At 42.0% G+C, this 16,493-nt stretch overlaps 1 protein-coding gene across 1 annotated transcript in view; it reads right to left on the bottom strand.

Annotated features, from left to right (window-relative positions):
* The window catches only part of CASQ2 (calsequestrin 2), a 68,694-nt gene that overhangs the window by 20,293 nt on the left and 31,908 nt on the right, over nt 1–16,493 (bottom strand). Inside the window, exons 5-7 of the mRNA NM_001232.4 lie at nt 12,588–12,661; nt 6,679–6,809; nt 5,195–5,240 (exon numbers count right to left, since the gene is read on the bottom strand). Of these exons, the coding sequence (NP_001223.2) occupies nt 5,195–5,240; nt 6,679–6,809; nt 12,588–12,661 (251 nt within the window). The remainder of the gene's footprint in view (nt 1–5,194; nt 5,241–6,678; nt 6,810–12,587; nt 12,662–16,493) is intronic.

Genomic DNA, 16,493 nt, shown 5'->3' on the forward strand with positions numbered 1-16,493 from the left:
CACGGTGGAAGGGACCAGCTAGCTCTCTGGGGCATCTTTTAGGGCATTAATCCCAACATGAGAGTTCAGCCCTCAAGACCTAATCACTTCCCAACGGCCCCATCTCCTCACACCATTACCTTGGGGGCTATGATTCCAATGTATGAATTTGCATGGGTACACAAACATTCAGACCACAGAACCTGTACTCTTTCTTTCTCACCACCACCAGCAGAACAGGCTCCATGAATTTATTCCCCTGCAGGGTTTGCAGAAAATGTTGTAAACTTGGATCAATGGCTCTTAAGTTGAAAGAGGCTGGAAAGAGACCTGTATATAAAGTAACTGAGTGCAAGATTTCCCAAAGAACCGGAGATTTGGGAATAACGTCAGTGAATCCCTTCCTTTGGATACCCCAGCACTTTGTACGCCCCCCTGTCGCAGCAGTGAGCATGCTGGGCTGGCGTTATATGTCTTGAGACTGTTTCGTCTACTTAATCTGAGCTCTTAAGGACAGGACAGCAATGTTAGCTTTTATAACCTCATTGTTTAGCACAGAGGTTCTTTTTAACGCCTATAGACTCAAAAAAGGAGTATGGCAATAAAAACCTTACTCACTGAAGAAAATTAGAAAATATTAGGTATACCAAGAAGAAACTATGCTTATCAATTACCTACCAACAACATATATTACCACTTAATATTTTACTCAGTTTCCTTCCAGTCTCTGTTGAATGTTTGTTCTCATGTTGAATGAAGAGATGCAAAGAAAAATGCGGTTAAAATAAGCAGGCTTCCTATTTAAGGTGCAATGGAGTGACCTAGATGCTTGTCTGGGGGTCTCTGACCCCATCTTGAAAGTATTTTGTTGTTGCAATATAGGGAGGCTTCTTTTAGAAGAAATTGCTGACTCTCCTTCCCTGTGGGCAGTTCCCCAGGACTCCAGCGGGCCACTTGGCTAGATGGAGGGTGAGGTCTCCAGGGGGAATGACAGATCAGCACTGGGTCTCCTTTTGCCCTGCCTCAGCTTGACATTCTTTGAGTATTTAAAATAAATAAATAGCTTTCCAATGTACACACAGCAAATATTACCAGGCACCAGTTTCTTTAGTAATCATATGTGATGTGTTTTCTATGGCCTGCATCTTAAAAACCTGCACAATTAGAGTGAGAGAAAGATCAATAGTTGTTTTAGTCCTAGCTGGCTTTCCCATCTTATTTAAATATTTCTCAATGTCTCGGGAAGTAGATGTCTGGGGAAGTGGATGTTGAAGATAAAGACCTTTCTTTTTCTTTCGAAACAGGGTTTCACTCTGTTGCCCAGGTTGGAGTGCAGTGGCACATCTCAGCTCACTGCAGCCTCTGCCTCCCAGGCTCAAAGGATGCTCCTGCCTCAGCCTCTCAAGCAGCTGGGACTATTGGCACACACCACCACACCCAGCTAATTTTTGTATTTTTTGCAGAGATGGAGTTTCGCTATGTTGCCCAGGCTGCTCTCGAATTCCTTGACTCAAACGATCTGCCCACCTCAGCCTCCCAAAGTGCTGGGACTATAGACATGAGCCACCTTGCCTGGCCAAAAAGACTTTGAAGTTCATTAACTGGTCACTTTCCACAACCACATCTGTGGTTTAAGTTGCTGTGGCCACGTGGCCCACAGGGATGGCACTCTTTAGAGCAGTGACCTGCTAGGGGGCCCAGGTAGAGGAGGGGGTATGGAAAGTGGCTCCTCAGAGGTCCTTTGGATGGACTGATTTCTGTTTCTCCCTTTCAAGGAAACAAAGATGACACTGGAGAGGCCTGTCCTGCCTTCCCCCTAGTTGGAGACTTGAATGAGGGGCTGACTAGGTCTGGTTAGGGTTCCTGGGTAAGACATGAGGCTGTTCCAGAACGGGGAGGGAAGGAATAAACCATTTCAGTTGCCCTTTTCTCTGCCTGGTTAAATTCAATACGCTGCTCTCTTCCCCAAGTTAAGAACAATTCAATATGCAATAATGTGGAAAATATGAGCCATCACCATTATTTTATATTATAGCAAAAGGCTGTATTTTATCTTATTCATTAAATGAAAAGAAAGGAGAGAATGAGTTCCAATGAAACCAGACACTGAACTTCCTTTCTGAACATCTGCCTCTAATGTGTCAACAGGGAGTATTTCTGTAGCAGTGTGGGATATGTGAGGACACAGGCTCCCCATCTACAGAACACCATGGTCTTGAGTGATACTGCTATGACAGGAAGGAAAGACCTGGGAGAAGGGGTCCATAGTGGTATATTCCCTCCCTTCCTAGAACCTAGATAATTGAGACTTGCCTCTTAGGAATAAAGACAATAAAAAGAAAAAAACTGAAGATAAAGCCACAGCAGAAGAGAACATCAATAATGACTCTCAATTTAAAGTGATATTTTGTGCCATGAAAGACGAAGACCAAGACCCTGTTCCAAATTAAAGGTGACTAAGGAAGCATAAGCAGGCCGGGCGTGGTAGTTCATGCCTGTAATCCCAGCACTTTGGGAGGCCGAGGAGGGAGGATCACCTGAGGTCAGCAGGTCAAGACCAGCCTGGCCAACATGGTGAAACCCTGTCTCTACTAAAAACACAAAAACTAGCCAGGTGTGGTGGTATGCACCTGTAATCCCAGCTACTTGGGAGGCTGAGGGAGGAGAATCACATGAACCTGGGAGGCAGAGGCTGCAGTGAGCCAAGATGGTGCCACTGTACTCCAGCCTGGGTGACAGAGGGAGAATCCGTCTCAAAAAAAATAATAATAATAAAAGAAAAAGAAAGAGAAACATAGGCAAATGTAAGTGTGGAATCCTGGATTGGATTCTGGGCCAGGAAAAAGAGACGTTTTTCTTTTGCAGTAAAGGACATTGATGGGACAACTGGCCAATTTGAATAATGGTAGTAGACGTATTATATCAGTGTTAATTTCCTGATTTTGAAAATTCTATCTCTCTATATCTATCTATCTATCTATCATCTATCTATATCTCTCTATATCTATCTATTTATCTATCTATCTATCTATCTATCTATCTATCATCTATCTATGTATCTATGTAGCTAGAAGGGATGGTAAAATGTTAACATTTGGGAGATCTAGGTGAAGAGATATTGAAGTTCTTTGCACTATTTTGGTACATCTGAAATTATTTTAGGGTAAAAAGCAAAAACAATTTAAAAAATACTATTTTAAAGCACTATTATATCTTTTTGCTATTACTATTTTAAAATACATTAATAAGACTCTTTTTTTTTTGAGACAGGGTCTCACTCTGTTGCCCAGGCTGGAGTGCAGTGGTGCAATCACAGCTAACTGCAACTTCTGCCTCCCAGATGAAAGTGATTCTCTTATATCAGCCTCCAGAGTAGGTGGGACTACAGGCGCCTGCCACCATACTCGGCTAATTTTTGTATTTTTTGGTAGGAATGGGGTTTCACCATGTTGGCCAGGCTGGTCTCGAACTCCTGACGTCAAGTGATCTGCCCACCTTGGCCTCCCAAAGTGCTGAGATTACAGGCATGAGTCACTATGCCTAGCGATAAGACCCTTTTAATATCTTTGAAAGGTTTAAATGTTAGGAAAGTTTGTTTCTATTGTGCTGAGTTGTTATTAAATAGTCCGCTCCTCTGGACTGGATTATTTACCCTTTGGTATCTTGTGAAATGTTTGCTCTACCTTCAAACATCCAAGTAAGTTACAGACCAGTAAAACAGTGTCAAGTTGCTCCCTGGTTCTGTTCATCCATCACTTCAAAGAATTAAACAGATAAATACTTCCGTGTTAATTCCTTTCTCCTCCTTCCCAGCCCTCACACCAAATGGCCCCTTGTGGGGACATAGTCACTCTGGGGAGGCATTCTGCAGAGAACACCAGGTTTGGCTCCAGATGGCTTATATTTAAGTTCCAAGAACTAATGGTTTTTAGTTATGTGTCTTTTAGTGATTAATCTGTATGAGCGTCAGTTTCTGACTATGTCAAACGGGGCTAAAATAGTATTTGGTTTTTGTTTGTTTGTTTGGGGAGACAGAGTCTTGCTGTGTTGCCCAGGCTGGAGTGCAGTGGCATTATCATGTCTCACTGAAGTCTCAAGCTGCTGTGCTCAAACAATCCTCCCACCTCAACTTCCCAAGGAGCTGGGACTACAGGCGTGCCCCACTATGCCCGACTAATTAATAATACTTGTTCTACATCACTTTCTAGAGCTATTGGAAGATCCAAATAAAAAGATGCATGAAATGCTTTGAAAAATGCTCCACAGCCTTTGTTATTTATGAACTTCTGTACATAAGGTGTGGGTTGGGGGTTTATCTCCAAGGCCCTCTATCTAACACTGTTTGAGCTGCCTGACATATTATCCATGACACAAACCTAGAAGACAAGTTGGCTCAGCTGCTTGCCAGTGCCTTCAGTTGATATTTTTAAAAAACAGCTACCATATAGTGAACTCTTCATATTCATCCTTATAAAAAGTCCCAATTTTAGATGAGGAAATTTAGACAGCTCAGAAAGGCCACAGGACTTGACATAGTACACAAAGCTACTAGGTGGCAGATTCTGGACTTGAACCCTAGTCTCTATTACTTTATAGCCTGAGTTCCTTCCACTGTGTTACTGTGTGGCTCTGATGATCAATGAACAGAAGCTATAGTCACTGCAGGAAATTAACTAAGAGCAATTTTGCCTAGTGAGTAGTACCAAAGAGGCTTGGATTGATCCATGGAGAACTGTGTTTTAATTGAGCATGAAGTTGTCCATGTTTTTGTTTTGTTTTGTTTCATTTTTTTGAAACAGTGTCTCACTCTGTTGCCCAGGCTGGAGCGCAGTGCCAGGATCACAGCTCATTGCAGACTTGACCTCCCAGGCTCAAGTAATCCTCCTGCCTCAGCCTCCCAAGTAGCTGGAACTCCAGGCACATGCGACCATGCTCGGTTACTTTTTGCATTTTTTTGTAGAGACAGGGTTTTGCTATGTTGCCCAGGCTGCTCTCAGACACCTGAACTCAAGTGATCCCTGGCCCCGGCCTCCCAGAGTGCTGGGATTACAGTTCTGAGCCGTCGTACCCAATCTGTCCATGTTTCAAATACTCATCTAGACATCCACCTCAGCCAAATAAACTTGGTTTGAGTTTGGGGACTTAATCTAAGAAGCACTCCTCTTTGGGACTATACTCATCTCTACAAGGCAAAGAGAGTTTGCCTCTTTCTTACCCATGTTTCAAACATTTCTTCTGGGCGCAGGCGACGTAGAGTGGGTCTGGAAAAAAAAAAAAAAAAAAAAAAAGAAAGAGCTTCCTTGAGTAGGGATCACTGTGGCAGACACAGCAGCCACAGCATTATGAAATGTAAAATGAGATGATGCTTCCTTTGCAAGGCAGGGAGAGCCCTAAAAACCCACTTATCTTCTAAGGAAACAGACCTGCTCTACTCTGCTGTGTCAGACAGCGAGCTGGGCCAAGGCACTCAGCCTTTTCATAGACCCACTGATCCAAGAATTATAAAGTCTTTTACAAACAATGGGTCAGAGGGCACAGGGTCAGCTCATTCCCAGGGCAAGATGCCATTTCCTTCCTCACAGATAGCCACCACTCCAGAGAGCCCACAGCAGGCCTGGAATGAGAAACCTGAGGGGGAAAACAGGAAATCTCGGATTTTGTAGGTTAAAACTGCCTTTGTTTTATCATCTGGTGTATACATTGAAAGTCCTTTAGGGATATTTAGGGGAGCAGACAGGATCTATATTTTGCTCATAGTTTCATTTCTTTCTGAATATTGGCAAATAGTGCTGGACATATTAATATTTGCTCCTCCAAGTACTGCCTTCCTGAAGGAACTAGGACTGTCCAGGTGAGGGGGATCACAGTACTGCAGGTCCAATGAACACACTCGTGTACATGCCAGGTAGGGTGGAGGGACAAGCCAGTGAGTCCACTACCATGTTCCATATTCCCATATCTTCCCTCCCTCAAGAGCAGGGGTCAAAAAACTACAGCTGGTGGGACAAATCCAGCCAGGGCCTCCTGTTTTCCTAAATAAACTTTTACTGGTACACAGCCACACCCATTTGTTTATACATGATCCATGGCTGCTTTCATGCCACAGCCGCAGTTAAGTAGTTGCTACAGACGCCATCTGGCCCACAGAACCTGAAATATTTACCATTTTGTTCTTTACAGAAAAAGTTTGCTGATCCATGCTGGAGCTACACTAAGTGGTATCAAGCATTTCTCTCCCAGAAGTTCTATGCATAGAGTGTTCATCCTTGGCTAAGTTACTTAACTATTGAGTCCAATTCCTTGATCTGTAAAATTGGGATAATAATAATTACTCCCTAAGGTTGGAGATTAGATAAAATAGTTTCCCTAAAGCACTGGGCATGGTTATTGGTATATGGGAACTTTCACTAAATTGCTCTCATTCCTAGTATAGAATTTTATTTATATCTTGCCCTGGCTTTGAGGGGATTTGCTGACTGAGGGATTTATCAAACTCTGCTTGCAGGTGCAGACTTAGATTCAGAAGTAATAACATCCCTGCTAGTCATTACTGATCAACAAAGCCATACTACTGAGTTCTGTACTGCTGGGGTACTAACTAGGTTGTTGCTCTTGGCAGGTCTGAAATGTTAGCACAGAGAGGCTCCTCTCCATTCCCCAGACCCCAGGCCCCCAGCCCCCACATGCCATCTCAGGCACCTTTGGTGTTCCTTCACAAACTCCACCAGCTCCTCTTCTGTGTAAGGTTTGTTGGGGATGGCAATGGGCTCATCCATAAATGGCTCATAGAAGTCAACCTCATTCATCTTCAAAGATAATTTCTTTGCAACCTGTAACCATTAGAAATAAGACAAAGTTTATTTGAATACTAGTCTAGAATAGCAGTGTGTTGTCCATCTAAGATAAGTGTGTATGTTTTCCGGCAAAGACATAAAAACAGATGTACAGTTTTAACTTCAATGTTGAAGTGACAGGAACTTATCACCCAAGGCCTGGCTAGACTAATCTTCTTTTGTGATCAAAGAAGGAAAGATAGGAAGGAAAAAGACTTATCTAGCAAATGAGGGTCGGGCAGGGGCAGGGAGCAGTTGAGATGCGAAGTGGGAAATTTAATTCTACAATCACCATCACTCTACTGCATTTGCCAGGGCTGGATGGGAAGCAAATGCCAATGGAGCATATTTACTATCCTGTGTTGTATGGATTTAATGGAACCAATGTTGATAAAACAGGCAATTGATGGAGATCCTTAAGGCATATAGGTACTCAGAATCAGAACCCAACCCATTAGCCTGTCTTTGATCTGCTCATAGCCCTAATTGCTTTTTAGGTTGAAGTGCTGGCCCTACAGTTAAATCTCTCAGTACCCAACTTGCTTCATGGTTTGTCAGGCTTTGGGAGCTGCCCAGTTTGTCAGCAGTTATGAGGTGACTGACCATCTTGCTTTGTTCTGGGTGGAAGGGCTCCCTGGGATGCAGGACTTTCAGTACTGAAACTTGGACAGACCCCAGTAAGCCAGGATGATTTGCTCATCTTACAACAGATAAAGAGCTCGGAGAGCCAGCCGATAGCCAGGAAGACATTTTCTCTCTGGATTAAAGCAGCCACATGTTCAGTGTGTTGTCAAGGCAGAATGGTTGCTGTTTGCCTGCACAGCTGCTGAACTCAGGACCTCTGTTTGTGAAATGATTTCAGAGGCCTGGAATGTGCAACGCTCTATAGAAAACCAAATGCCACTCTTTTCTAGTTCAGAGCTGTGGTTCAAGAAAGCGCAGGGATGAACAGTGGTTCCCTTTAAGCTGAAGAGGAATTGCCTAAGAGCTGATGCACTGTGGTGGTAACCCGTGGTGCCGTGACCCAGGGCGGCTGCAACTAACTGGGGAAGGGGAGGAGCTGGGTATTGCATAAGCTCTTACACAAGGAGATCCATTCTGAGGAAACATTGATATCCATATGGTTTTTGTCATCAATTGCTATGAATTCCAGGTCACTATATTCTGAAAGGCATTTCATATAGTACTTAAGGGAGAGAAATTCCAGCATCCTACTCAGAGATCAAGAAAACAGGCCATGTTGACAGCTATAGTCAGTCAAGGGAGATTTTATTGTCAGGTTAATTTTAAGAGAGGGAGATGTGGAGTTTTTTCTAACTGTTTTTCCCTCTTCTCAGGGGTAGGGGGGTGATGTAGATGATGAGGTGATGAGGCAGGGAGCCAGAGTGGGCAAGAAAATGACATTGAATTCTGGTTTTCTGAGTTCACTTACTATGTATTCTAGGAACCAGAAGACTGTTTCCATGAAAGGAGAAGTGATCAGAATGAAAACAGTAATAATAACAAACATATGGAGTGCTTATCACGTGCCAGGCACTGCTGCCAGGTGTTTTAGGTTGATTCTTTGTTTAATTCTCACTTTGATTGTATGTGGTAAGAATGATTATCATAGTTATTTTACAAATGATGAACCTGAGGCACAATTTGGGTAAGAAATTTGTCAGGATCATATATCTGGAGGGAGCAGAGCCAGAAGTCAAACCCGCCTGGTGGTGGTGATAGTCTCGTCTCTGAATGCCAATGTCTGGGTCCACAGTGCTGTCTAAGAATGTAAAAATTGGATTGTCGTGTCCTTAATTTAAGTCTTGGAAATGCTAAGTAAAAATTTCCCAGGGATCTCTTCACTGTCTACCTACCACCATCATGGAGTGCTCTCATCTTGTATCTCAGAGAATCCCTCTCTTTCATTCTTTTTTTTTTTTTTTTTTTTTTTTTTTTGGTGAGACAGAGTTTTGCTCTTGTTGCCCAGGCTGGGGTTCAATGGCACAGTCTCGGCTCACTGCAATCTCCGCTTCCCAGGTTCGAGCGATTCTCCTGCCTCAGCCTCCCGAGTAGCTGGGATTATGGGCACAGGCCACCACACCCAGCTAATTTTTGTATTTTTAGTAGAGATGGGGTTTCGCCATGTTGGCCAGGCTGGTCTTGAACTACTGACCTCAGGTGATCCACCTCCCCCCTCGGCCTCCCAAAGTGCTGGGATTACAGGCGTGAGCCACTGCGCCCGACCCCCTCTTTCATTCTTATTATTCCTATCTTGGATGGTAAGGACTGAAGGGATTTGATTGGTTGAAGCTTTTATTCATTCATTTATTCAGTAAGTATTTAGTGGGGCCTACTGAACCCAAGGCATTATTCCAGGAGGAGATCTGGTTCATGGGTATTAGCATTATATAAGAATGAATTATATTATTAAGAACCAAATGGGTCCATAAAAATGAATTCTTTCATGCTTTTATCTGTTAACTAGTTGGAATAGATTTCAACAAAGATAAGAAAACTACAAAGTACAATGCCAATTTTCTGACATGTGCATGTATATGAATTTTGATACAAATCATTTTTCCTCCAGTTAGCAAGTCATTTTAGTTGTTGCCAATGAAACCAACTCAAGTATTAGGTTGGTGCAAAAGTAATCGCAGTTTTTGCCAAAAGTAATGGTTTTTGCCATTACTAAATTTAGGTCTTCCCAACATCTATCTTCTCCACTAACTTTGTTTAGTCACAGCACCCTTTGGCTCCAGTGTGATTTAAAAAAGAAAGTGATTTTTCGTCTCATTGTTCACTCAGACAGAGAGAGGAACAGGTCAGTGGGCGGGGACATGGGATTTTAAGAACTGATATTTTTCAGGCTGTGAGGTGCAGCAGAGTGGAACCATCCTTGGCCCTCTGACACTTTCTTGTTCTAACTGCTTCTTCAGAGAGGTTGGGCCTTCGTGTGGCTTGATTTAGGATTAGTATTAATAGATCAGTACTGGTCCTAAACCTCCACACCCTTTAAAATTCCTTGGGTGGCTTTTGAAAATGCAGATTCCCAGACACTGCCACAACCCTAAAAAATTAAAATTTCCAGGGCTGGGGCCCAGAGACCAATGGTTTTAAAAGCTTGTTGGAGGATACTAATATGGATAGTGGTTGGGAACTACTGACTGACAAATTTACATCAGCAGCCATGACATCTCACCCTCTTTACAGTCTTGCAACTCATATGATGTATTTATTGGTTTGTTTACTTTTGAACTTTCTGTCTTTCCATCTTCTCTTTCCCACAATAAACTTTAAATTCTAAAGGGCAGGAATCTGCTTTGCTCAATGTTGTGTCCCTGGCACTAAGAAGAGTGCCTGGCACATAAAGGGCACTCAATAAATACTTGTTGAGTGAATGACTGAATTAATTAATTAATTAATTAAGGACATTTCCAGTTGAATGTTTCCCCAACTTTTAGAAAATAGAACTCATAACCCCATCTCTTGTTCCTCAATAGATTCTTCTTCCTGGATTTCCTAATGTTTTCAGTAGCTTCATAATTTTTGCTGTCTTAACGCCAAGACTTGCTATCTTAAGTTATTTTGAGGCCTTCTCTCATCATCTCATCAATGGCCAGATCTTCTTGTTATATCCACTTTTACTAGTGCCAGTTGTTTTTTGCATTTTTGTGACCGCATTAGTGCTTTCTTGTCCCTTGCCTCTCCTGGTTTCAGACCTCAACAAAGCACCTCCAGGTCCCTCTGAGATTCCCTAGGATGTGTTGTACAAACAGGTCCTTTCAGCCACTTCACATTTATTACTTTTCTCCTCTTCTGTCCTAGCACTCCCTGCTGGAAACCACTGAGGCTCTACCAGGTGCAGTCATGCCTTCTGGACTCCACCATCTCCCCTTGGACACCCCCTCCACCCCAACTGATGGATGCAAGTTCTTAAGCACCAAATGGCATCAGAGTCCTCTCAGTGCTCTCCCCTCTGTGTACCTTTGTCTCTTTAAATATTCTGAAATCCAACAAGGCTACATGAACACTGGCACTTATGACTCAGTGTCCTACAGAATTTGAATAAAGCATCTCTCTGAATTTTTAATCATAGCCTGACCTCACCTTTTTCATGGACCACAGGCATGAAGCTATACAGTTGCACTAGGAGGCACTTCTACAAACAAATACTACCCTGAGCTCAACGTTGAACCACCCCTCTAAAAACTAAGGCTTTGTTGCTGGACAAATTAATTGGCCTGCCTCTCTATTCCTTTCAGCTGGATTCTTACCCAGGAGCCTCTTTAGCCACACCTAGTCCATTAGAACCAAATGGTCCATCAGAACCATATGTCAGTAATGGATTCAGTTTCGGCTTCTCTGTTCCTCCCTTTCTCTACTAATATCCTATCCAATCCTCCCACTTCCTGGGCCTAGATGATTGCTTTCTTATGAACAATGGTGCTCATAGCTGGCTAACTATTACTGAATGCTTCCTGTGTGCCAAAAACCAGCTAGGCAGTTTGCATATATTGCTTCTTTCTCTGGAGTAAAGTAGGACAGAGCATTGACTTTGAAGTCAGGCTGGTCTGAGATTATAGCAAGCTTCTCAATTCAGTAACTACATGATCATGAAAAAATCACTTAATCTTTCAGCACCTCAGTTTCATCCTCTGTAGAATGAGGATACTAATTCCTCCCTTATGGGAGTGTTGAAAGGATGAAGTGAGAAAATCCATGTTAACTTCTTAGCACACACTCTGGCACAAAGAGACTTCTTAGCACAGACTCTGGCACATAAAAATTTTTTTGAATTTATTATTTTTTATATTTTTATTTTTTGAGAGAGGATCTCACTCCATTGCCCAGGTTGGAGTACAATGGTATGATCACAGCTCACTGCAGCTTCAACCTCCTGGGCTCAAGTGATCCTCCCACCTCAAGCCTCCCAAGTAGTTCGGACTACAAGTGTGTGCCACCACACCCAGCTAATTTTTGTATTTTTTGTAGAGATGGGGTCTCACCATGTTGCCCAGGCTGGTCTCCAACTCCAAGGCTCATGCAATCCACCCCCGTCAGCCTCCCAAAGTGTTGGGATTACAGGTGTGAGCCACAGCACCTGGCCCATAATAGACACTTAATACATGATAGCTTTTTTGATTATTCTTGCTCAAGATCCCTCCCAACTGTAATACAACTAATTAGGATAAACATTCTTCAAGTTTAGATTATGTTACTTGGATTATAGAGCACTCTTCTGGATCATAGGCTTGAAGACTGGGCCATGTCTACAGAAGTGGTTCATCATATACATGAACTGAATGCAATCTCATCCCACCACGTCCCTTCCCTGCTTCAGCTCACTGACTTCCTCTTGTTTTTCGCAGAACACTTGCTTGAACTAATCACAGAGGAGTTCCCATTCTACTTCCCATCCTGACGCAGTAGAAGGGGAAGTATGCAACCCCAGGAAGGGAGAGGATACCCCCTAAGGAAAAAGGAAGCAGTGGCTCAGTGGGCTGGCACACTCTGGGCCCACACGTTTCCCATCTCAGTGTATAAGAAGATAATGGTGGGTCATCACTTTTCCTTGGATGTTTTCATAAATATCCTTACATCCTCTGACTTAGTCATCTTTGTACTCATCTTAAATCCAATAGTGATTTAGTGATATAATTCTTAACCCTTCTAGAGAAAGAGGCAAGGGAGGATGGTTAATGTTGCTAAAAGAAAAGAAAGAGTGGTGAGAGTTCAAACTTTAATTCTTCATGCCTACAAAACTGTTCAAATTGGGGTTTCATAGGTACTTACCCCTTTGTCAAAGGTGGCAAAGAATTTGATGTAAGGCTGGAAGTGTTCAGCTGCTTCTTCAAAAGCCTTGTAGTCTAAGGGGAAAAATAAAGATGAAGGGAGAGACATTTTCAAGATGAACACAGAAGAATCTTCTTTTTAAATGGTGTAGAGAGTAGAAAGCCAATTAATCCTGATTGGATAATAATTTAGTAGGTATTGTTTACATAGATGTTATTTAATATTATTTAAGCCCATAGTTCCCCCCAAGGAGTTGGAATTGACTGGCATTCAAACGCCCAAGAGAAGACCCATTCACCACACTTTTATGAACTGCAGGTAGAAAGCACGAAACAGAGGGAACCGGGAGGAAAAGAGAGAGAAAAAGACGCGTAAAACTCCAAACCAAAATAAAAAGACCTTTCATTCTAACTCACTGCTACTTATAATCATGCCCTCTAGAGAGAGTGCAGTTTGCCAGAATAAATGAGCCCTAAGTAAGAAGGAAATTCGTCTCACAGTGTAAAGTAACCTCAATCACAATTGACATCACAGAAGTATTTTAAACTTCTTCATGGAAGTACTCCTGTTGCTGAATTCTAGTTTTCTTTCCCTTTTTTTCATTTTAAAGTTTTCTTTTTTATTCTGATGCCTCAAGAGGATTTCTTAAACTTAATCAAGCTCTTGATTGACTATGGTCTCAAACTTGAGTCCATACTGGCCGAGGCAGTATGAGATCAGGTGAGTGTGGGAGTGCTGTACCTTGGTACACCTGGGGAGTTACTTGGGAAAGAGATTTGTCCTCAAACCTTAGTTGTGAGGGTGATGGTAATTGTGGTGGTGGTGGTGGTGGTTATGAATAAATGCTATAAGCCTGAGAGTCAATGAGCCTGTGATTTATTCTTAACAAGATTAGCTTCTTTCCATTTCATGGAATTCCATTTCCCTTAACCGTGTGAAGTATAAGCCTTTGTTAGAATTCTGGGACCATGCAGAATTTACTAAGATTCTATCAAAATTTTTTTAGAACAATGTTAATCCAGAGGATACCAAAATGAATAAGACAAAGATACTGATCTTCAAAAGCTCTCAGCCTAGAGAGAGCTATTGATCCTTAAAGAATCAAAATGCAGCATGATAGTTGTTACAACAGAGGTGAGTGCCGCAAGCACAGGTGAGAGAGGGGTTGGAAAGTCATGAGAATACTTGCACATACTGATACACACTCACACTAACTTGTCCTCATAAAAGTAAGCAGGTAGTCAGAAAAGATATCCTGTAACATCATAGCTGGGGTCGAGAATTGGGTGGAGGGGAGAAGTTGGCTGAGAGCATTTGAAGAATGAATGGAGTGAAAGTAAGGAAGTAGAATGGCTAAAGCAACACCTAAGCCATCTGTGTCTAAAGCAGCAGTGGGCTCTATCAGAATCCTCTATCCCCCTCTTTTCCAATCCCCATGTCCCTGATGAATTTCTCTTCCCCTCCATGAACTCCCACCCTGTTGGAAAGAATGGCTTAGGCCTGTGTCAGGAGCTTCCCTTCCTCTCTTGGAGAGCTGGTCTACATCACTTTAAGATGAAGAATGGAGCAAGGTGACCTCCAGATGGGTGATTCAAAATGTGGCTTGACCTTTAGCCTCAGCCAAACAGCAGTTGTTTTCCAAGAAGCCTCCTCTTGTCTTCTGCTCTGTTGGAGCTCAGGTCATCTCTAGGCTTTCCCTGCCTCCTGACCAGCCTGTTCCTGGTCCCTTCCAGTCAGACCCCTTTCCCACTTTCTTTGATGACTCTTTTGGCTTCTGGAATAGGCTCCTGAACATTGAGTTCCCAGCCTCCAGCTTACTAAAAACTTATCTTAGCATTTTCTCTCCTTTCTTCCCCCTCTCTCAGGGTTGTGCGTACTGGATATTAGTATCACAGACGTTAGTAACTGGGTGTGGTTGATGGCACCAGTTAGAAACCCTGACCAGAAATGCTTGGAATAATATCATCTGTCTTACAAAGAAGAACCAAACCAATTTGTTGGGGATGAAACATTCAAAGAAGTAAATAAACATGTCAAAATAGATTCTGAAAGCACTGCACAAAATAAGTGTACACAATTAAATGTATAAACTTTATAGTGTATGAATTCTATACACAGTTAAACTCTGAAGTCAGATTTTGAATGTCCAAGTTCATGTACTGATAGTACAGCTACAATGACAAGAAAGTGTAAAGGCTTTACATCAAGCTCTTTCTGAAAATCTTGAGATTCAAATAATATTTATTCAGAGAAAAAGTTCATCATATAAAGGTTTGCCTGTGAATCTGCATTCCACAAAAAGGTTGTTATTTTTAAAAAGTGACTCCAATAACATTCAAACCTGTATAACTCCTTCTCTTTATAGCTTTTGGTGAAGAAATGGGTTCAGGAGACCTCTCCCTGCTCTTTCATCCTAAAGTGGGTTAACTGCGCAAGAATTTTACAGAGTTTATTAGCTAAAAACTAGATTTAAAACTATGCTATGAATTATGCTTACTTTGAAAATATTTTGAGGGATCATTATTGGCTTCAAAAAAGGCTAGATCTTGCTAAACACCTACTTGAATGTACTTAATTGAAAATTGCAAGGGCTACGTGAAATATATAATGTACTAACAAAGTTTATACATTTAAAAACAAAAATTCAACCTTAAAAAGAGGTTAAAATGATTCACTAGCAATTTTATTAAATTTTAAGAATGATTATTAAGATCAGTAGAGCAATATCTGTGTATTCCTAAGGAAAAGCTTCATTATTATTTTGAAATATTGATGATATACAAAATTTAATTAAGATCTGTAATCCTTTCAAATTCATTCAAATTATTATAAGGAATATGAACATTACATTTGTCAATGAAAAGAAAAGTGATAGCTGTCAGATTGAACTAAGTGCCCTTGAAGGACACTTTAGAGATGGAATTATCTGAATTATGTCCAATGGCAAAAAAAGAAAGCTCATCAGTCAAAGAAAGAGCAGGCCGGACGTAGTGGCTCACGCCTGTAATCCCAGCATTTTGGGAGGCCGAGGCGGGTGGATCATCTGAGGTCAGGAGTTCCAGACCAGCCTGGCCAACATGGTGAAACTCCATCCTTACTAAAAATACAAAAAATTAGCCAGGCATGGTGGCAGGCGCCTGTAATCCCAGCTACTCAGGAGGCTGAGGCAGGAGAGTTGCTTGAACCCGGGAGGCAGAGGTTGCAGTGAGCCGAGATTGCACCATTGCACTCCAGCCTGGGCAACACGAGTGAAACTCCATCCCGAAAAAAAAAAAAAAAAATAGAAAAAGCAATGGATATTGTCCTCCCATTTGTCACTATCCACATATACAAGTGAAGTCTCTTGTCCAAGGTGACCATCAAGAATTTGAAGAGATCATCATTTAAAATCTTGATAAGGAATTTCATGTTGCTATTTTAAGCATAAAACCTAATATCAAAAAGCTATATCCTGGGTTGGGCACAGTGGCTCATGCCTGTAATCCAAGCACTTTGGGAGGCTGAGGCGGGTGGATCACTTGAGGTCAGGAGTTCAAGACCAGCCTGACCAACATGGTGAAACCCCGTCTCTACTAAAAACACTAAAATTAGCCAGGCGTGGTGGCGGGCACCTGTAATCCCAGCTACTCAGGAGGCTGAGGCAGGAGAATCACTTGAACCCAGGAGGCAGAGGTTGCAGTGAGCCAAGATCATGCCACTGCACTCCAGCCTAGGCAACAGAGCAAAACTAGGTCTCAAAAAAAAGCTATATTCTTGAGGCAAGCATAAGATTCTCATTCAAAATTTTTTTTAAAAATTGGAGGTTTTTTACAATGCAATATGTAATATATTTCATATTACTTTTGTACACCATACTAGCCATGTGATAATGGGCAAGTTAATTGCACCTTTCTGTTCCATCCTTTC

Source organism: Homo sapiens, chromosome 1 (assembly GCF_000001405.40).
Source record: "Homo sapiens chromosome 1, GRCh38.p14 Primary Assembly".
Lineage (NCBI taxonomy): Eukaryota > Metazoa > Chordata > Mammalia > Primates > Hominidae > Homo > Homo sapiens.